We start from the raw sequence: 22,781 nt of genomic DNA on the forward strand, positions 1-22,781 counted from the left end.
TATTGTGCACGGCAGCTCTTTTAAGCACAATAATATTACTTATTCAACAGCATCCCATTAGAACAATTCCTCAGAAGGTTCTTCTCTTCTAGCCATTCCACTACACTCAAGACATGCTCTCTACTGCTTCCACTGTTACTAAAATAACTATGTCTGCTTCTGTTGCTTTTGTCTTATGCTTAACATTGAGAGATAACTAGATGATATAGCTTATATCCAATACAGAACAGCTTTTCTAGTTGGTGTTCTGCAGACTGCCACTTAAGGAGACAGCATCCTTTGTGTCTAATCTAGAGATGGCTGATCATTGGTCCATTTGACTGTGATACAGAATTCATGTTCACATAACCCAAAGCATAGAAACTTCCATGCAAAGAGCTATCTAGAATTGCTTTCTTAAGTAAATTTTTGGTTATGTTTAGTACATTTAGAACTTTATGCATTTCCTAAGGCCAACACTGACTACTATTCAGGAACTCTTTAAAACACCAGTATTATAAAACAAATAGGACATAGGCTGTTTCCTAAAAGAGCTCACAGTACAACATAGAAATGCAAAAATTCTTCTTCTTTCAAAATATAGCCATACAGAGAGATAAGTGGCGGCACAATGAAGAAGTAGGTAAATTTTGTTGGAGAGTCCAGGAAAGCTTCACAGAAGTTGACCTTGAAGAAGAGACTTAATTGGAGATATTCCCAGCTGGGTGTAGAAATGGGGAAGGAGAGGAGAATTCAATTCAGGAATGATAATGCAATATGAACAGATGTACAGATGTATAATCTGAGAGCTGGAAGAAGTGTATTATGGTTAGAGTGTGGAATGTAAATGTGATACAGCAACAGATAATAGTGTCCAGATCGTGGAAAACCATGTGCTAATGGGTCTGGACTTTACCTGTAAGGAGAAGCTATTGAAAGGATTGAAGCCATTGATTAAAATGTCTCCTAAATATATACAAATATTGTGTTTCAATTAAAACACAAAATAATATTTTCATTTTAAAACAGATCACCATGATTGCAGTATATAAGAGGTATTGGAGATGCAGGAGGCCTGAGGAATGGTACTGGGAATGGGAGTGTTCCCATTGTCTGTGAAAGTGCTGTTGAGATAATGCTTTGAAAAGAGCAATGGATGGAGAGAATAGATCAGGCAAGCAAAAAGAGAAGGATTAACAATATACAAGTGTAGATGACTGGTGTGGAAATAAGGATGAAGGAGGAGACTAGGATTAATCCCCTGTTTGGTCATCTGTTTCTATGTGAATCATGATACTTTTCAAGAAAAAAGGGAGCTCAGAAGGACAAACTAATTTGGGAGAAATTCTGTGTACAATTTTAGTCATTTTAAGAGTTCCCAATCAGGGAAGTACAGTACATGTTGGGCATCTAATTCAGCTAAAGGTATGGATCAAACTGTCAGAGAATGGCTGGAGAAAAGAGGAGAAAACCAAAAACAAAGTTCTAAAATTCTGCTTAAGCTTTAAGAGATAGCCAAGCAGAAAGGACTGAGGGATAGAGAGGTAGGGAGAGAACCGAGAGAGAGAAGCAAAGATGTTAACAATGACGAGGAGCGCACATAGGTCAAATGAGATAAGGGCTGAAAACAACCCATTAGAAAATAGTGACATTTACTGGAGCATTTACAGGGCCATGGGAAGGATCGAAACTTATTATGTCATTTGAAGAAGTAAATGTGAGAAAATGGAGATAGCAATTTCAGCCATTCTTTTGAAGGCTTAATTGCGAAGGGGAGAGCTAGTCTAATGTATGCAGTAGGAATCGATGGAGATGAGATAGGGTCTGATTTTCTAGATTAATTCATTAATCTTTAAAATGGGAGAGCCATTTTGAGCGTGTTTATAGCCTATAAATTCGGAGCCAAAAGCAGGAGGGATAAATTATACAGAAGGAGGATGTAACTGTTGGATCAAAGTAAAAGTTAACTTTGAGGGGGAAAAAAAAGAAGACAGCTTCCTGTAGTATTAAGGAGACATGATATGAGTGGATGCAAACTCTCTTACTTAAAATCTGAACATCTTTACCTTAGCAATTTCTGAGAACATTACTTGAGAAGATACGTGCAGAGCTGTTCACCACACATAACATCATTAATGGTAATTTATCTATTTCCTGCAAACCTTAAAATTTTCTTAGTACTTGAATCTTGCAATTTTTTTCCAAAATTTTTTTTGGCACCAGAAAATATCCCTCTGAAAAAATCATCAGCATTGATTCTGGTTTCAGTTACTACCATTGCCAATTATTTCATCAACCTCAACACTCAACAGCCACGAACCTAGTTAATATTAAGATGGAGTTTCTTTCTCGAAGCACAGAATTTTCTCCAAGCTTGTTTCAATATAGCATATCATTTCTCAAAAAAACCTTTATAAGTTTAATACAATTATTGCTTAAAGTTGCTTTTAAAATAAAGAAATATAGAATTAAGTAAATGTGTAATTTTTTTATAGAAATTTATATTCCAATATTTCTACAAGACTTTTTATAAAAATAATGTCTATTTTCCTCTCCTTTATCCACCTCTCCTCAAAAATTTAAAAGCTTTCATCCATTGTTTTGATATTTTCCCTGTATATTTTAGTGATGTAGTTGTAGTTTTCTAGTTTAAGACATTATGTCTTGACTTGCTACAATGAAAAATGAATATATAAATCTTTTATATCTCTAATTTTCTTCACTTTTTTTTTTTTTTTTGACGGAGTTTTGCTCTTGTCGCCCAGGGTGCAGTGGCACAATTTTGGCTCACTGCAACCTCTGCCTCCCAGCTTCGAGTGATTCTCTTGCCTCAGCCTCCCAGGTAGCTGGAACTACAGGCATACACCACCATGTTCAGCTAAATTTTATTTTGTATTTTTTGGTGGACATGGGGATTCACCATGTTGCCCAGGCTGGTCTGGAACACCTGACCTAAAATGATCTGCCTGCTTCGTCCTCCCAGAGTGCTAAGATTACAGGCATGAGCCACCATGCCTGGCCAATTTCCTTCACTTTGTCCTCTCATTTTCCAAATATGTTTATTTTTTTGTTTGATTTATAATTTCTTTTTATGTTATTATATAATGAGAATATAAATATTTTGTTCACAGATAACTCACATAAGTTATGTTTATATTTCCTTTCTTAGATATTTTCTTTAGTTTTATTTTTGAGTTAAAAAATTGTGTGTGTATGTGTTTTGGTTGCTCTGTTTTCTATATACCTAGCAATAACTAATCCCCAAACTGTCTGCTAAAGTATACATGTTTTCTCGATATTTTAAACTTATTTACATTCTTATTAGTTCCATCTTCTTGACGAAATCCTTCTAGGAAAGTTTTTCTTCCTGGTCTCCTCTGGACTTATTGCTTGGTCCTTTGCAGAGCTATTGTTGTTTCGTAATCTCTCTAAACTGGCATCCAAAAAATTCCATGTCTTTCATTTTCTTGGTTTATACACTCATTTTGGTGGCAAGCCTTCTGTTATTTTCCTGAGAAAGAGTGTTTGGGAGATCAATTTTGTGTTAATTTGTACATATGAAAATGTCTTTACTCTCACATTCGATTCCCAGTTTGGCTGCTATAAACGTATAGAATGGCAGTAATATTTACTCCTAATTTTGAAGTCATAGTTTTAATTACTTTTTTAAAAAAAATTTTGCATCTAGTGTTGCTGCTTACAAGTTTGAGCCCATTCTGATATTTTCATTTTGCAAGTTTTGTCCCTGTGCTCTAAATTTTAAAGTGATATGCTTTGTTGTAGGCCTAAAAAGATTTTTTTCCCCACCGTGTTGGGCATTTCATGGGCTTTTCATTCTGAACTTGTTCCAGTTGGAACATTTGTTGAATCATGTGCTTGGTAATTTCCTTAACATAATTTCCTCTGTTCTTTGTGTTTTCCTATTATTCAGAGAATGAACCTTTTGGATTGATGCTCTATTTTTTTCTTCATGTTGAATTTTCTACATTTAGACTTTTTATTCTAATTTCTTAGATATCTCAAGCATTCAAAATTTTCTAGTTTTTTTTTTTTCATTTCTGCCATGATATTTCTGATTTCCAAAAGGTTTACTGATCTGGGTCTTGATTTTTTAATATCATGGTGTTCTTTTTCATTGAAGTAAAATTTCTTATCTCTAGATGGCCAGAAGCTAAACACACAACATATACACATGTGTAAAGCCTTCAGCTTTCATTACTCTATTTTATCCAAATTTGTTATTTCTGTTTGGTCTGTGTCCTTCATGTTAGAGGCTTTCCTGAAATGTACTAAGATCCTTGGCCACCCATAAACACTTAAGAATGAGTCATTAAATATCTGATTAGAAGCTCTAGGGTTGTCAACTGGTATGCCTCTCTGTTAGGTGATCTGGCCCTGCTGTTTGCTGTGAACTCCTAACTGCTAGTGTTTTTCACATGTTTTCTCTTAGTCTGGTTAGACTTCCCGTTGAAGAATTATCTAACCTCCTACCAGGAGGGTCTGATGCTGACTGCTAGTATTCTTAACATTATGTAAGAGGAAGGATCGGAGAGCTCTCATGGTTCCGCATGTAGCTGATTAAAATTAATGTGCCCTTCGTATGCCCTTTGTTCTGTAGTTCAGCATCCCTCTAACTCATCCTCTATGGAAGGTAAACTTCAGCCTTCTGCAGAAGAAGTTGCCTAGCTGTGGTGTAGTTAGGCATCTTATTCTCTGTTTGCAGATGTTTGCAGATGTTCAACAATCCTGATAAATTTTAACCATAATTTATTTTCAGGTTTGTGAATATCTGGTGCTGTCAGTTCTGGGGGATTTCTGAGTTTTGCAGTGTAAATCATTTTTCTTCTGCTTCTAGACTGTCTCCACGGCTATCTTGGGATTCACCTTTTTCAAGGCTAAGTTGCTATTTGTCTATTTGCTTGCTTTCTAGCTTCCGAATGTGCACTGCTGTTGTCTTTTCTAACATGACGCTTGTATTTGTGGTTTAATGCCTTAAAAATCCACTTTATTATTTTAGGGAGGTGTCAGGAGGAAACAGAAGTAACTGTGTGTGTTGATTCTACTGTACAATTTAGAGTACTTGGAATATATAATTTTTGTTGCAACCTATTAAGATATGGCATTATTTAAAAACACTGATCTAAGCGTGGAAGTCACAACTTTAGAATTTTTTGTAAAATTTCAAAAAATATATTTTTAAAGGGGATAAAATTAAATCATGAATCCTTTTAGTAACAATCTACATTTGTTTTTATGTGCTTCACACATCTCTTAATAACCATGAAGGGATTACAGTATTCTCAGTAGATCAATTCCATACTTCTTATTAATCATTCTAGCTTTTATAATGCTGGAAGTGCCAAAATATATCCTCATTGCAGCTGCATATTCACAGTCCAAAACATTCTTTCCAGTATGACTTGATTATCCTCATCAACTTTGTAACAACCTTCATATGTGAGGTGAGAGAGTAAAGGAATCAGTCTTGCCACCAATAAGAGTGGATTTGGAGTTCTAATGTGAATTCAGATTAGAAACAGAGCACTAGTTGTGAGGAGAGTTAGTTGGAGTGAGTTGCTCATTCTGTAGTGGAAATACTAACAAAAAAGAGAAAAGAGCAAGCTTCTGAAACATGACTGCTGCTCATTTTCCAGAGTTTGTTTAAATATTTCATAATTTCAAAAAATAAATGCTGAGTTAAAGAAGTGAACATAATAGTAAATGTTAAAACCCAGGCAAAGAAGATGAGAAAATCTGTATCTAGTGATATAAATATGGTTCCAAAGCAATATGATAGTAGAAAAGAGTAAACAACATGTAAATTAGGATTGAAGAGCTGCCTCCATTCTTGTAAGATGCAGTTTAAGGTTTGCATAACTTGTATGTAAGAGTTAAAATAGTCCACGTCATGGAGTGGTTTTTATAGAGGACTTCTATATGGCAGAAGAAATTGAAGAAGGCAACAGAGCTCCCCTGAGGGCTAACCACCCTTATTTCAGTTAATGGGATATGTGCCCAAATAAGGGCTCACTGAAACACACACACACACACACACAAAACTAAATATGAGGTTAGAGAAAAAAAAATTTATTTCAAATAGGCTTTCCCCTAATGAGCAGATTGCATTAATTTCCTTAAAAAATTTACATGAATACTTCCCCCCAAAAAAGTCCATATATTTTTTATGCCATTTGTCTTTGTAGAAAGTGGCATTTTATGCAACTTGTCTTTGGTTCTATTTCCAAATATATGCTCTAAAATTAGCATATAAATTTATTAAGTGCTCAATGGCATGTAAATCCACTAGATAAATTATAAAGAAAATGAAAGATATATTTACAGTTACATTCAGTTCTGAATTTTAAAACCAAGAGAAAAAACAAGACAAAACAATTAAAAATATTCAAAAAGGGTTACACAAAAATCTAAGAAAACAGTGCAATGCAGAACGAACTATAAGAAAAAAAAAATCTATGCCAATTAAAAAAAACAATGGGACTCTTTTATTGTGCCTACACGTGAACTCAACTTCAAGAGACACTGAATGCATTTTAGCAAATTTGTCAAAATTGGTCCAATTGTTCAATTCCATTTGACCTAATAAGGTAAAAATTACATATGTTGACCACAGTTGAAACAGAGATTTCACTACTTAAGTCAGTAATGTGTCTATCATTCATTCATTGATTTGTTCATCAATAATTTTTACAAATAATTACTTAGTGTTTTTACAAATAATAACTTAGTGTTTTTTTTTTATCAGCTGGGTGTTAGGACATTGCAGATGAAAAACACATGATCCTCCTCCTTCAAGAGCTCAAACTTGGAGAAGGCATATTCAAGAACATATAACAATAGAACTGCCATGCGATGTTTTTATAGAGATGAGATGTTAAGTGTTGTGGTAAAAGAAATAGAGCATTTAGGCAGACAGGGAAGTAAGCAGTAATTGTAATAAGAGAGAAAATAATTATTTTGAGAAATATTTAAAAGTTAGAGCTATGAAGTATTTATCTTTAATTTGATTCAAGAATGATAACCTTGGTTTCTAGTTTGGCCAAATGGTGGATGTTTCTATTACTGAAATAAGGAAGGAAGAAAAGAAGCAGAGGGAAGTATTAGATACCTTAGCAATAAATAGTAAAATAATTTACTTTAATACAAGGAGGGATTTTTTTGGGGGAAAAGTGGTTTATTTCTCTAAAATAAATAAGGCTTTTTAAAATTCAAATTCTGGAAATGTGTTACTAATACCAATTGATCTCCACATATTCGTGTATCTGCTTTCCTCATTCCTGGAATGGGGTATTATTTAAATTCAGTTTCTCTGGAATGTTGCCTTTGGCAAATAGCCTGAAGAAGTACATAGATTTAGGAAAGTCTTTGCAGATGGAAATTCTGCTTTCCCTATTTTATTACCATTAATGTTCTTCCCTTTTCTTGACCACAAAAAGGAAGAATTCAATTAGAAGACGTCTTTAGGTTTAAGCTTTGCTTATAATAACTGGATTTATTTAGTTATCACAGGACTAACAGATGTGCCTAAAAGCCACCTTATGTTTTCCAACATAATATTGTTGATCTTTTTTTTTTTCCTTTTTGGACCAGGGACCAGACAAATGGTGACCAGACGGTCCAGTCTAGAAAAGCATAATTGCCAACTCTGACTTCAGCAAGGGTGGAAAAACTCAGAGGAAAATGGGAATTTAGCCTCAAGATAGTAGTTTCCATGTGTGAGTGGGTTTTAAATTCTCCAAAGGAAAAAAAAAAAAAAGGAATAATAGAAAAAACTGCAAGAAAAAATTATTTGAAGGATTTAGGGTGATAAGTTTATTTTTGGGAAATCTATTTAAAATATCTATTTCCTGCATACCTATATTTGTACTAATAGAAATAATTAAACTTGTTTTGTTTTGCAGACTTTAGAGTTTATCATCATTACTTTAAAAGGAGTTAACTGAGCTGACAGATTTGATTACTCAAAGTGGTCTGTCTCATTTTTTATTTCACTTTGACATAAGACTTGGCACAAGTCTGTTACAAGCTATGCACTTTTATTGCTGCACTTCTAAGTTATAAATCTGGTTTACATCTATGGAAAATGTAGTGTAGAATTGAAGACATGTCCAATTATCTGGGCAATTTGTTTTATGAACTTATACCAAATTAAATAGAAAGCATCGACAGTATTTGTTCTTCCTCTGTGGGCTGCAAATCAGTTAGAAAAAAACCTTCTTGAACAGGGGCATTGAAAGTTCTGGCTTTTCAGACTGTTTCCTGAATGGGTTCTGATTAAAACAGGATCTGAAAGTCTGATTGATAGTCTCTGTTTCCTTTCTTAATGTAACAAATACATTCAGAATGTTGACTCCTATGAAAAGTAGAATTGCTGAGCTGGACTGCATTGCCTTTAGCATTTCTTCATAATAGAGGAAATGATTTGGCTAAGGGCTGGGTATGGCTGTTTTCTCAGAAAATAGTTATTGAAAAATATTTTGTATGTCTCTCATCTATAAAAAAATGAAATAGAAATTCAGCCTGAGATAAGCAATCAAGACTTAGTATTTTATGTATATGCTTTTAGACCTTTACAAATAGAGTGACTCATTTGACCATCTGTGTAGGTGAAGTGTTAAGCATTTGGCTGCTGGTAATAAAAAAAGTAGGTATGACACCAGGGATGTAATGCTATGCTATTATTGAAGATGATAGTGGGAAGCTATATGACATTTTAAAGAGGGAGACTAATGAAAGAAAGGAAAGAAGGAGAGAAGGAAGGAGGGAAGGAAGAGAGGGATGGAGGGAAAAGAAAGAGAGAGAAAGAAAAAAAGAAAAGAAGGAAAGAAGAAAAGAAGGAAAGAAGGAAGGAAGGAAAGAAAGAAAAAGAAAGAGAAAGAAAGGAAGGAGGGTGGGAGGGAGGGAGGGAAGAAGGAAGGGAGGAAGGAGGGAGACATCAAGCCTGTGAAAATTTAGGAAACTTCCTGGACTAAAACTAACATGTAAGTTTAAAGGAATCAGTTATGAACTGATTTAGAGTTAGTGCTTGGATTTGTTCCCCTTGGGAAGTAAGGCTGATTGATTCTTTTTTTTTAATGACAGCCTATTTTCATTTTATAAGTAAACTTATTTCCCTTATTTTTCTGGGAATATTTAAAAGTCTCTTTTAGATTGTTTTTATCAACACTATTACCTCACATGTAAATTGTTTTGTTGGTTGAATTTATTTCTCTTTCATTGTGTTGCTTTATTTCTTTGGTGATGTGATTCATGAGTGTGTATATTTGTATCTAAGATTACTTGTTAGAATTTCTGCTGCATTCATTTGCACAACCTGCTTGGCAGAAATGTTGGGAACTTTTACTAAGGCTTATTTTGTACTCTACTGTGTCTTTAGTTAAATTTAAGGAAACATGTGTTTGCTTAGAGATTGTTTTTCTTGTTGTCTCCAGAGATGGACAGCCCCCTGCAGCTGTGTGATCTCTTTAACATAAACTCCCATACTGTCTCCTTCCACGTCCTACCTTGCTCCCTGGAAGCGGGCAGCTGCAGGGTGGTGGACTTCTCTGTTGTTCCTGGGATGTCCCCGGTGCACAGGCTCCCCTTCTCTCAGGCCTGGAGGGTCATGGTGGAGCCCTCAGTCTTTTGGGTGGCATTATCCCTGGTATTTCCTTTGTTACACTCTCCTTCTTTCTTTTGTTCCCATCGTTGTACCATCTCAGGAATTCTCCATGGTTTCTGATACATGAAGGGTTTCTTATCTTATTTTTGTGTATGGTTATATGTTCATTCACTTAAAGTATATATTCTGTTATCTGTGAGAATTTGACATTGCTCAGGCTGATGCTTTAAAACAAACAATACTTTTCAAAGGCTTATTTAGGCAATTGGGCTTATCTGGGAATTTTTACTGCGTTCTCAGTCCAGATTCATCATGGTAACTCACTACACTACCATGTGTGAATAATTCTGTGGAGAATTACTAATTCTCCAATTAATTGTCTCTTTACTGCAGACGTTTACAGTCATGCATATCCAAAGACCTACCATAGTGGAGGACCATTATATAATTAAGTTATTTCTATTACTTTTTTAACCATAGCAATTTAGAAATCTCAAAAAACACATGTGTTAAATTATTAAACAAATTTTTTAGAAAAATATGAGGTGTCCAATTTCTTTCCATTCCCTTATAATTATTCCAGGCCTTAAGTATAACCACTTTTTCTATCAAAGGGGGCAAAAAAAGATATCAACAGGGAGAAATATTTTAAAATGGAAAACTAACAAACACTTCAGCTAATGCTTAAGATAATCTATTAATAAAAAAATACTCTCTTAGGTTGAAGTCCACAGTCATCTATGACAAATTGACTAGCACAAATACATAATTAGAAAATAGTCTTTTGTGATAGTAGCAAAATGTAGTTGCCTGTTAAAACTAATTTATATTTATGGATGAGGATTCTGCTCTCCAGTGGATGGTCAATGCTCATTTGTATCATATATGATAATTAAAAACTATTTCTCAGGAGAGCTATTATGGAAGGCTTAAAAAGAATGTCCTTATTCCTATGCGTGTTTTCTAACCTGTTTTTCCTTCTGCTCTTAAAAATTAACTGGATACTGTATTGAAACTTATCTTTATTGCTTTTTATTCTCCACAGAATTATTCACATCATAGTCTATTTTTATGCATTTATTATACTAATTTTCTTTTAATTTGACAGTTTCCTCATGTTTCTATGCATTGTTTTGACAGTGAGTTACTCATCAAGATTCTACTTGAAAAAAGAAAATGATAGTTCATGTTCACATTTAAACTTAACTCATTTTAGTTTTTCTTTTTATTCCACAGTCCTATGTGCATGACAATGACAGAAACTATAACTGACAAGATAATAGTTTAAACTTTATAAGTTGAGCTAGCTACAGAGGGCTCACTGGATACTAAAAACTGAACTGAAACCATTTTTTAAATAGAGGAATATTTTTAAAAGCCCACAAGAGATGGACAATATAATTTATTTTCAAAAGCCAATACTTTTCATGCTTTATCAATAATGAGTTAACTTGTATACTATTTACTCTTATTCTTTCCCCATGGCATAAATGACATGGATAATAAGTATGCCATGCACTGGCTTAGTATGATTAATATTAGTTTTCCTTAACTTGCATCATGCCTCCTCCCTTTGTTGAGAGGGATGAGCTTTCTTATGATTGATAAGCTTTTTTGCTCTTTTGTTTTCACTCCTTTCTTCTTTGCCCTTTGTCTTCCCTTTCAATTTCCTTTTGTTTGTCTGTTTTGACAACTTATTTATCTTGTTTTCTGCCTCTTATCTCAAGGATGTCAATGATAGCTTCTGACATAGTTTTGATGGTGCAATGAGATTTTCTTCTGCGCACTTCTTTCCATTTTCCCCTGCCTCCTATGGCTTACACAGTTTGATAAAGAAGATTGAGAGGTTAAAACTCTTTGAACTAATATTTTAGTTTCTGGAAAAAGCCTTTGGTTTGTCAGTGTTTTACAAGTTTATTAAGCAAAGGTGCCTCATAGCCTACAGAAGGTGAGGTGCACAGCCGACAAGGACATCTTGCCTCAGGGTATTATATCAGGGGTCATCAGCTAACAGACCTGGAGCTGAACTCTGTTTCAAAGGTAGTGAAAGACGGACCTGGACAGGAAATTCCTGCCCCATTCTGAGCCCCCTTTTTCCTTCTTGGGTAGGCAAGCTGAGGTTGGAGACTGGGGTTTTCTCCTAAAATCAAATCAAATAGTTTCATAACTTTTTTTTTATCAAAAAGTCCACGTAGGGGTCCATGGAACCAAATCAAATAGTGGCTTCTCTCTTCTCCAGGATAATTAAGGGGAAAGGCTGGAAGCACTATAATTTCTTAAGTGTGGGCTCTATGGGCACAATAGAAAATATTATTTTTAACTCCGTATTTAATTTTTTTATAACCCTTGTTTTTGTGGTGATCGTTTATTTTTGAATATTTTGGGACTATAGTGATCATACTAAAATCCATGTTAGTATAGTAGAGAAATGTGATTTTCCTTTGTATAGATTTTTAAAGTTTTTTTAATGTATACTATCTTATTAAAATTTTCATAAAATGGTTTCTACAAATATTACATAATTTGGATGGAATTTTAACAAGACTACACACTAAAAATTATTCTAAATGAGGTCATTATCATATTAAACATGTAGCTGCTATATTGCCATTTCTTTGAAGCATAGCTTTAAACAATAGAAGGAAACAATCATTCGTACTCATAAAGGTCAATTCAAATGTGATGGTGTGAACATCCCACTTTAAAGAAAACCACTACATATTTAAAACAGACAAAAATTCATTTCACACAAAGAAGATAAATACCACTGTTTGCTTTATTACCATTCTGGGAATATTAAATAAATAGCAGTGGAAATAGAACAGGACAGAAGGCCTTTTAAGCAGCCTGGACTTTATTCAGCCTGTACTATTGACATTTATGCTCAAGTAACTAAATACCAATTTATAAAAGATCTGCACATGTGGATGTCACATTTAATGCTTAAAAAATCTGCTTTAAAAAACCCATTAAGTTACATGCTAATTTCTTCCTGGAAATACAGAACTTTCGTTTGTCTGCTCAGCGGCCCTAACTTTTCTTCTGGGCCCTGTATCTTACCCCACTCCATTGCCCTAGAGATGCCATTTTACTACACAATAGTTGATTAGTTTATAACTGGACAAATTACAGTATCCCACTCTTTTGGCCTCAGATCAATTGGTCTAGTTATTGGCACGTGGCCCAGATTGGTTGACGCATTCTTTCTCTAGTATTTTCTTCTTATTGTATGTATTTATTGTGGCTAAAGTTTTAATATTTAGAGTTGAGCATTTGTGAGCAGATCCTAGGCTTGCTGGAGGTGGGAGTAGGGAGACAGAAAGAATAAGAGAGAGAGAGAGAGAGAGAGAATGCCAGGCAAAGAATGAAAAGGTGGATGTGAGGAGAAAGAGAGAGAGAGAGAGGTGTTAAGGTGACCCATAGGTGGAGATGAGAAGAGAGATGATCATCCTGATGATATTGGAATTACTGGACTTATTGGTTGCCTGATTTGCCTATAGCTTGGGTGCTCTGCAAGATACTCAATATCCTTCCAGTAAAAGGGCCATCTTAAAGTTTGTTTGTATTGAGTATCTCTCACTGCCATCAAAATATTTTTAGTGAATGTAAATAATATCTTCATTTTTATAGATCTTATTTAGAGAGAGGTCCATTTGAATAAAGGCAAGTTTCCACATATGGCCTATGTCCAAATGCAGAGAACCTCATAAAACTATTTAATACCTATTATGACTAACTTTTAAATAAAGCAAATAGCAAAATAAAAATTGTTGAATCTATTGAGAGATACTTAGAAGATTTTTAGGCTTTGAGACTCAGGCTGTCTTTAATGAGTTAGAAAAACAGTCAGTAAAATAAGTTTGCCTATGAGGTGTGCTTATTTGGTGTACCTTGCATAGACCTAAATAATCTGAGTGATTTTTAGTGTCCTAAATAAATCTCAGTGATTTATGGAATCACCAAGTTGTCTAAAATGAAATTTTCCCATTTATCTACATAAATTCAGTTTAGTATTATCTATAATAAAAACTCTTATTATCTACCTCTAAGCTTATTCTCATTTTAATACTTTCGTAATGTTCTCAATTCTTCAATTCTGTGTTGATGTAAAGAAATAGTCCTTGACATACTGCAACTTATATTTAATGAAAGAGGTAAGTAAAATATGTCAGTATAATACTGCATGACATATAGAAGGTACAGTCACTTACTATAAGGGTTTAAGGATGCTAAGAATACAAATGAACTGAGCTTGCCTTGTTGGAGGTTATCACCATTTTCTTGGCTTTAACTACCAGCCAGCAAACTGGAAAATAAAATCTATTGGGCCTAGCAAGCCATGCTTGTAATTCTACATTTCAAGGTTTTTGTTTGCTTCCTTGTTTTTGATTTTGTTTTGAGGCAGAGTCTCACTCTGTCACCCAGGCTGGAGTGCAGTGGCACATCTTAGTTCACTGCAACCTTAACCTCCCGGGTTCAGGTGATTCTGATGCGTCAGCCTCTCGAGTAGCTGGGACTACAGGCACACGCCACCAGGCCTGGCTAATTTTTGTATTTCTCGTAGAGTCGGGGATTCACCATGTTGGCCAGGCTGGTCTTGAATGCGTGACCTCAGATGATCTGCCCGCCTCGGCCTCCCAAAGTGCTAGGATTACAGCCATAAGTCACCACACCCGGCTTTGTTTTTGTTTTTAAAGATAGTGGCTATGTAGAATGTTTTGTGAAGTTTGCAAATCAGGGCCCCTTTAAGACAGACTGAGGACCACAAATATTGGCAAAATGGCCAGTCTTCCAAAGGAACCCCCATTAGTACCTACCGGATGTTGATGATGCCACTCCAGGCACTCAAAATCATGCCCCAGTTGCTTTGACTTATTTCTCTATTAAATGCCACAGCTCTGTCTCTGCCACTGGAGCTCTGCTTTGCTACTTTGCTTGCTCACTTTTGCTCTGACTTGGCTTTTTTTCTGTTGACCTTTGTTCATGGCTTCTGGGCGATGACACACTCCATTCCCCTGTTTCTAACATTGATTTACACGGAGTTTTGGCATCCCTGTTCCTCTCTTTTCAGGGCTTGAGTCTCAAATTGCAATTTGCAATTCACTTGTCTCTTACTTTAAAAAAACGTAAATTCATTTTTAGAAATTTAAATGTATTTTATTTAAATTTGTTTACATTCCTTTCAGGAATCTATAGCTGGTTTACAGATTATAAGGAATAATTTGAGAGTTTTCAATAGATTGGGGAGGGTCATGGTAAGAATATTGACAATGTCAAGGATAGAATAGAAGGCTAGGGAAAGTTTGAGAGAGAAACCACTTGAAAGTAAGGTTATAATATTTCACATTTGCCTGTCTGTTTTTCCCAATATAGACACTTTTTAAAGAGTTCATAACTGTTCAGTTAGCAAATATCTGACAAATAACTGATGGCAAAAAATTATTTCCATAAATAGAAAAGAAACAAAACAGTGAAAGTTTTTTTGTTTTTTTTTTTTGGTGTTTTTTTTTTTTTTTTTTTTTTTTTGAGATGGCGTCTCGCTCTGTCGCCCAGGCTGGAGTGCAGTGGCGCAATCTCGGCTCACTGCAATCTCCGCCTCCCGGGTTCACACCATTCTCCTGCCTCAGCCTCCCGAGTAGCTGGGACTACAGGCGCCCACACCACGCCCGGCTGATTTTTTTTGTATTTTTAGTAGAGACGGGGTTTCACCATGTTAGCCAGGATGGTCTCGATCTCCTGACCTCGTGATCCACCCGCCTAGGCCTCCCTAAGTGCTGGGATTATAGGCGTGAGCCACCGGGCCCTGCCAACAGTGAAAGTTTTAACCAAGGCTGCTGCGTGATGAAGGAAGCATTATAATCATTTGACTTCTCTTTGGAAGACAGAGGAAAGGAAGAAGCTCAGATCTCCCCTCAGACTTTAGATTAGCAATTCTGAGCGGTTGGTGCATTATAGACAAAGCAGGGGACATCGAGGAGATAGCAGGTTCTGAAGGTGTGGGTGATGACTTTGGTTTTTGTCCTATTTGATTTTTGGTACCTGTGGGACATCCAAAAGGTGTTGTGTAGTAAAGAGTTAGATATTTGGATCTGGAACTTGGGACAGAGATTGAGCCTGGAGATCTGGCCTAGATAATAGAATTCTTAGAGGTGCAGGACCTCTTATTTAAAGAGTGAAGTACAAGAACATGCTATAGGGGAGATGGAAAAGTAGTCATTCAAGAACTAGAAAGGTGGGCTGGGCGCGGTGGCTCACACTTGTAATCCCAGCACTTTGGGAGGCCGAGGCGGGCAGATCATGAGGTCAGGAAATCGAGACCATTCTGGCTAACATGATGAAACCCCATCTCTACTAAAAAAAAATACAAAAAATTAGCCAGGCGTGGTGGCGGGCACCTGTAGTCCCAGCTACTCGGGAGGCTGAGGCAGGAGAATGGCGTGAACCCGGGAGGCAGAACTTGTGGTGAGCCGAGATCGCACCACTGCACTCCAGCACTCCAGCCTGGGCGACAGAGCGAGACTCCGTCTCAGGAAAAAAAAAAAAAAAAAAGAACTGGAAAGGCATACAAAAGAATAGTGCCATGGAAATTTAAAGAAGAAAAAATATTAAATACTGTAGGAGATAGTATAAGTAGACTTCATGCAGTAGCCCTGTGATTTGACCAATTCATATGAGAGATTCAGAACAAGATGATTTACATAGTGCATTGGTAGAGAATCTTCACCACGCTGGTACTGCCCTGTGATGCAAACCCACCTCTGCATACTATTGGCAGCAGAGGTCCTGAAGGCAGGACACAGGGCACGCTGTGTTAAGAGCTTTCCTCTGTCTGTGCATTTACAGTGCTTGCTTCTGTCTTCTGCTGTGATCTCAATGAAACTTTCACATGTCCCTTTCTTTAACTAGAGAGCGTTTGCTTTCTATATTTGAGAAGACGGTCTTTGCTTGAAGTTGAATAACTTAACTTTTGAGTCCTCAAATAATATATTTAGGTAAACATTTAACCCAACATTCCCACTTTAACTCGTAGCTACTGGTTTTGTAAATAGTATTTGAACATAGTTTGTAAGCACAATATTTTGTGCATAGCTTGTATCCACCCAGAAAATGTCAAATGCATGAAAAATGTAGCTATTGACTTCTGTGTTTATTGGTCTGTTAACATTGCTCTTATGAGGCTGATTGCAATGAATGTTTTTACAATATACATGTGGGCAAGACCACTATTCAGTCTTATACATTTCCAACAAATCGTTTTTGATCATTTTAAAGTGGATTCAGTCTTTGAGGTGAGATTGACAATTAAAGGAAGTGAAAAATGATGAGTTCAATGAGTAAAACATTCAATTCTAATATCTCTTGCTTTTGGTAATTTTAATGAGAGTTTTCTTACTGTTTTTTGTGCTTTTTAGTTTTTGACTCTGTAAAACTGAGTCCACTTGGACTTGGGCCATTGGCCTATTTTGTGTTTCCAGTTTTTGCAAATTGGAACATATATTGAGTTTCATAGTTCATAAGCCAAAAGTCTATTAAAACCCCCTATTTACTCTTTTCTAATGGAAAAATGGAGTGATCTCCAACAGAGAGGGACTCCCTCTTCTGTGGGTTTGCCTGCAGAACAGGAGACTATTTATATGTGAGCTCAGAATCATTGTGCCAAAAAGGTGGTGTGTTTTGATGTGTCCTATTAATCATTGAGTTCTTTTGTTAAGATTTTTATTTTGTGTTTCACGGAATATAAATCTGGCTTATTGCCTTTAAATATTCATGCAGAATCATATATTATCTTAAACAGTTCATGTTTTTGTTGGCATCATTCTGAGATTGAAATTAAGTGTTTCCATAATTTATAAGCAAACCAACTGAGTTTATGAATATAAAATGGAACCAGTGAAGTCACTAGAGTGAAGATGCATAAGTCAAGTTTTTCTGGAAATGAATGTTATTTACTAGTAGTTGAGAACTGTATCCTTATGCTAGAACAAAATAGATTCCCTCTATGAAAGTCATAAAGTAATTCAATCAAATAATCAAGCAATTTTATTTTTGCTGTTGTTTCTACTGTGTTGAAGGGAATGAAATTTGGAATACTGGTGTTATCAACTGAATGTTTCTGTCCCCCCAAAATTCATATGTTGAAGCCCTAACCCCCAATATGATGCTATTTGATGATGGGGGTCTAGGGGAGGTAATAAGGTTATATTAGGTCATGAGAATAAGACCTTCAGGATGGGATTAGTGGTTTCATAAGAAGTAAAGAGAAAGCTGCCATGTGAGGACATAGTGAGAAGAGAGCAGGCAGTGTGCAAGCCAGGCAGAGAGCCCTCACCCAAAATTGAATTGGTCAGCACCTAGGCCTTGGACTTTGCAGCCTCCAGACCTGTGAGAAAACAAAAAAATTATTAGTTCAAGCAGACTAAGACAACTATATGATAATCTCTTAGCTCTTTCACTGTCACTTTATTTTCACAATTTTATGGCAACCTTCATATATCAAATGCAGACAAATCAATAAACAAAATGTTCAACACTGTTAGGTATTGCATGGGATATTAATAGAGTAATGGTAGAGAAATAGAAGAGTGATCAGGGTAACTTCATGTTGAATATGTCAAGGATCAAGTAGTGTAGTTAATGTTGTGAAAAGTAAATGGAGGGAGTGTTTCAGGAAGAGGGAACAGCCATCTCACTGGGCCTGTGTGTATCCTAGAATTACTCTTTGTGTATTCTAAATATTAAATAGAAACAATGGAAAGGAATAGACAAAGTTGACATTTGCTTAGAATTTGGCTGGGAGTGGAGAGAGACTGAAAATATAGAATTTCACGAGGCATGTATAGAAATTCTTTAAAGGAAAATAATGGTGAGGTATTTTAAATTGAAACAATTGTTGAAAATGTAGCTTCTTGGCAATACAATCTATATTGTTAGTTTCTATTCTTACTGTGACTCTGTTCCCTACTTTTATGTTGCAAAACAATTTGATATGTGTCTCTGAGTTCTGTAGGATCCATTTTACTATAGTAAATGCCTCTATACAAGCAGACATTAGAAACTATGAATGGAATTGGGAAGTCAGTATACATTTGCTAGAGTACAGTGTTTTATTTCTATCGCGTAAGTTAAAGTCTAACCTTCGGTGCCAGATTTCTGCACTGATTTCCTGGCCGAGGCTCTGTAAATGTGGTTGGCACCATACTTGAGTGGCTCAGGTAGCCAGGAAGTGAGATTATGTTTACCATTTTCATAAATCCTCATGGAATAAATATAGGCGCCTGTCACCGTTTCTTTTGCCACCCACTCTAGTCTTTAGCAGGAAGGAAGTATCATTTTCATCTCTCACTACAATGAAAGCTCTGAGAATCTGGTTACAGTTTCTCTTAGCAAATGGAATCCCAGAAGTGTCTGCATGTAGCTAAAATGCACATGTATTCCCCTCTCAGGGATTTTTTTTCAGACCATGGTTGAAAAATATCTGCTCTTTAAATTATTCCATTGCTTTACAGAGGAAGTATTAATTACATGACTGTAAGCATAGATCAGGCTGGGATGTAATTACAGGGCTTACTTTGTCTCTGTTGTCCAACAGAATTAGGCAGGAAGCATTCATGATGCCAGCAATTTAAGGTGTTTTGCAGCCCATTATGTTTCTGGTTCTCTCAAGAACCTAAGCATGGATCAAATGACATTTCTGTTGCCCAGTTGTCTGGAAAAAGAACAAAGCAAGTATGACCAAAAATACATTTTTATAAGTTTTATGTTTGTACATTGCTAGAAAATGTTACATACAACCTTAAAAATGTAGTCTTTTATAGCATCATTCTGGTTATCTAATTTTTCTCTAATTTGTGGTAGAGTGAGTCCATTATTAGCTTTACATTTGGTTATCATATTAAACAATGTAGTTGAGGAGATAAATACGTGGTTGTATTATATAGTTTTATATCTTTTAAACAATATTTGTGTATAGAATTGTTCTTAATGCCTAATTTCAAATTAGAAAATTAGAATCACCACAAAACTTTCTAAAACCACTGTTTTGTCTCATTCACTTTTATATATTATTTCCTATGTTGTGATTTTTCATCATCTTATAAAAATGAAATCTATTTAAGTTTTTACTTAGCAGTTCCCTTACTCTCAGCTTTTAAGCTCTCTTCTAATTAGTTAAAGATGCTTTTTTACTTTTCTACTATTTTCAGTCACTTGGGGCTCTACATCTTCTGAAAATTCTCCTCATAGTTACAGATTCTTCTCCCCCTCTTCTCTCATTCCAAATATTTTTCTTCACATGTTTCTTGTCACTCTTGGACGATCTGCACAACATTCCTACTTGTTCCTCAGACCACAGCACTATTTGGTCTCCCTGCAGTCTATCCCAATCACACTTTGAGTGCGTGTTCTTCTAGGAGCCCATGTACGTAGAATCACTGTTAGACCTAGTTGCCTAACCCTCACCTTGTTAACGGTTTTTGCAGTCTTTGTATCTATTTCCTGTCCAAAGTTTCATTTTTCATATTTTTATTACCTTCTTTGAAAACAGGATGACAATTTCTATCATAAATCAGAGTTGAGAAATGAACTTCCATGGCTGCATTTACCTTCTTTCTCCCTCTCCGAACTCTCATTCCCCCTCTCTACCTTAAAAAATCATATTGATAAAAGTCATCACTCCCAAGACACAAACTTGAATTTTGACTAGCATCTTCATTGTTTGCTAGGAGAGTAACACTAAATCTGATTGGTTATCTCACTTCAGAAGGAAATGAACAAATCATATTTAAGGTATTGCAATAGTTAGAGCTAGTAAAATTTAGGTACTGAGAAAGAAAACAAAAATATGTAATGAGAAGAACTTGTGATCCAGAAGGCTCCCATAGTGCAGCACAAGGAATATTGATATAAATGCAAGAGGCCTGGGTGTGAGTCTTGGCTCTGCCCCTTACTTGTGTGATATTGCTGGACACTTTTAAGTCTCAGTTGTCTCACATAAATAGGAAAATGTTATCCCTCTCAAAGAGGTGTCATGTTAAAATCAAATGGGATTATTGATTTGAAAGTATTTATTTTTATTATCTTTTATTATCTTCTGTCCTTTTAGTATCTTCTGTCCTCTATTCTTATACTAGTTAGTCAGTGCTCATTTTCATTTTTGGCTCTTTGTTTTTAAACCTGCGCTTATCACAGAACAGGATGCAGGGATGAACTTCAACTGATGCAATTCTCCTTTGATGAAGGTCACACAGGGTAGCTGTCAAAAGTGTGGAATCTGTAGTCAGGCAGATCTGTGTTTGTATCTCAGCTCTTCTGCTCCCTGTGGTAAGATGCTAAATTTCTTTAGGTCTCAGCTTCCTCATCTGTAAATTGGGAATAATAATGGTATGAGATACTAAATAAAGCACTTGGCACAGCAACTGGAACATAATCTGTTAAATATTCGTTCAATGTTAGTGATCATGAAAACAACCATCACCTGACTGCTGCTAGTCAACATATCCATTACAAAACCTCAAAATGTCAGTCAGGAATATAGTGTTGCACCTGTTTTCTTGTCTTTAAATATTTGTACACCATAATGTTCTAACATCACTTAGACATGCAACCAATCTGACTTTATAAAGTTGGTATATTATCCAAAGTAGTTGAAATTAGAGATGTTGGATTTTATTTAAAGACATGGAAATATTCATATATTTTATATTTAGTTTTCTGTTTTTACACACTGCATGTGAATATATGTAATAAAGATATTATGTTAATGCCAATGATTGTTGCTAAATCAATAAAGAGGAAATTTGTATTGGAAAGATCAGTGAACTTCATAACACAAATCTTGATTTTGTAAACCATTTCTTCCATTGCCCATTAGAATGACTATGTACTATCTTCAATCTAAATTTTGATCTTTAAAATTTCTGTGATCTCTGCCTCCTTGCATGTATCTACTCAAGCCAGAGGAAATAGATACAGTTTTATGTAGAAAAAAGTATCTGTGAAATGGTTTTAATATTGCCCGTGAAGAATATAAAAATGTGTGACAGTGGTGAGGTGACAGTTATTATTCAGATGTCATTGTACATAAAGTATTTGAGTTTAGTTAAGTGGCATGGGGGAAAATTAATATGAACAAATGATATATCTTAATTATAGATTTTTTTAAAGGATTGAAGCATAAGAGTTTTTATTTCAATCTTATTTCAGAAAACTGAATTTTTTCTTTCTTTTTTTTTTTTTTTGAGACAGAGTCTCGCTCTGTCACCCAGACTGGAGTGCAGTAGCACAATCTCGGCTCACTGCAAGCTCCGCCTCCTGGGTTCACGCATTCTCCTGCCTCAGCCTCCCGAGTAGCTGGGACTACAGGCACCTGCCACCACACCCAGCTAATTTTTTTTTTTTGTATTTTTAGTAGAGATGGGATTTCATCATGTTAGCCAGGATGGTCTCGATCTCCTAATGTTGTGATTCGCCTGCCTCAGCCTCCCAAAGTGCTGGGATTACAGGCATGAGCCACCGCACCTGGACAGAAAATTGAATTCTTAAATACGTTTTTGGCAGAAGTTACAAAGAAAGTTTAATAAATAGATAATAATTTTTTTTTTTTTTTAGATGGAGTTTCACTCTTGTTGCCCAGGCTGGAGTGCAATGGCACAATCTTGGCTCACTGAAACCTCTGCCTCCTGGGTTCAAGCGATTCTCCTGCTTCAGCCTCTTGAGTAGCTGGGATTACAGGCACCTGCCACCAAGCCTGGCTAATTTTTTTATTTTTAGTAGAGATGGGGTTTCACCATGTTGGCCAGGTTAGTCTCTAACTACTGACCTCAGGTGATCCACCTGCCTCAGCATCCTGAAGTGCTGGGATTACGGGCATGAGCCACTGCACCCAGCCAATGATTTCTTAATAAGTATATGAATTGCTATGTGCATACATCTTTCTCCAATTCTTGAATATGATTTAATTTACTTAACATTCAATTATAATTTCTTAATATTATTAACTTGCTTGGCATATTCATTTTGCAAAAGGCACAGAAATATTTGTTGTGGAAGTGATGGCCGTTTATTTCCCAAAAATCAGTATTCTCTCTTTCAAGTGGAGAGGTGTCGCTGAAAAAAATACCTGTCTAGTGTCCCAGTGGGAATCTTTCCCAGCCCCACCTGTAGTTAAGTACAGCCATATTGTAAT

General features: G+C 35.7%; 3 annotated features.

The window, feature by feature from the left end:
* Nucleotides 4,221-4,515: a silencer, noted in NCBI's record as "tiled region #14274; HepG2 Repressive non-DNase unmatched - State 24:Quies". NCBI's record gives its function as "represses a minimal TATA promoter and a strong SV40 promoter by Sharpr-MPRA in HepG2 cells {active_cell/tissue: HepG2}" and the evidence as "EXISTENCE:reporter gene assay evidence [ECO:0000049][PMID:27701403]".
* Nucleotides 22,601-22,770: an enhancer, noted in NCBI's record as "experimental_33432 CRE fragment used in MPRA reporter constructs". NCBI's record gives its function as "activates a minimal promoter by MPRAs in K562 erythroleukemia cells, with activity observed for the introgressed 13:81140534 or rs9593469 variant allele {active_cell/tissue: K562}" and the evidence as "EXISTENCE:reporter gene assay evidence [ECO:0000049][PMID:34662402]".
* Nucleotide 22,686: a transcriptional cis regulatory region, noted in NCBI's record as "Neanderthal adaptively introgressed variant 13:81140534 (GRCh37/hg19 assembly coordinates) or rs9593469 in the experimental_33432 CRE". NCBI's record gives its function as "modulates activity of the experimental_33432 enhancer by MPRAs in K562 erythroleukemia cells {active_cell/tissue: K562}" and the evidence as "EXISTENCE:reporter gene assay evidence [ECO:0000049][PMID:34662402]".

The sequence above is a fragment of the Homo sapiens genome, chromosome 13, assembly GCF_000001405.40.
Source record: "Homo sapiens chromosome 13, GRCh38.p14 Primary Assembly".
In the NCBI taxonomy this organism is placed as follows: domain Eukaryota; kingdom Metazoa; phylum Chordata; class Mammalia; order Primates; family Hominidae; genus Homo; species Homo sapiens.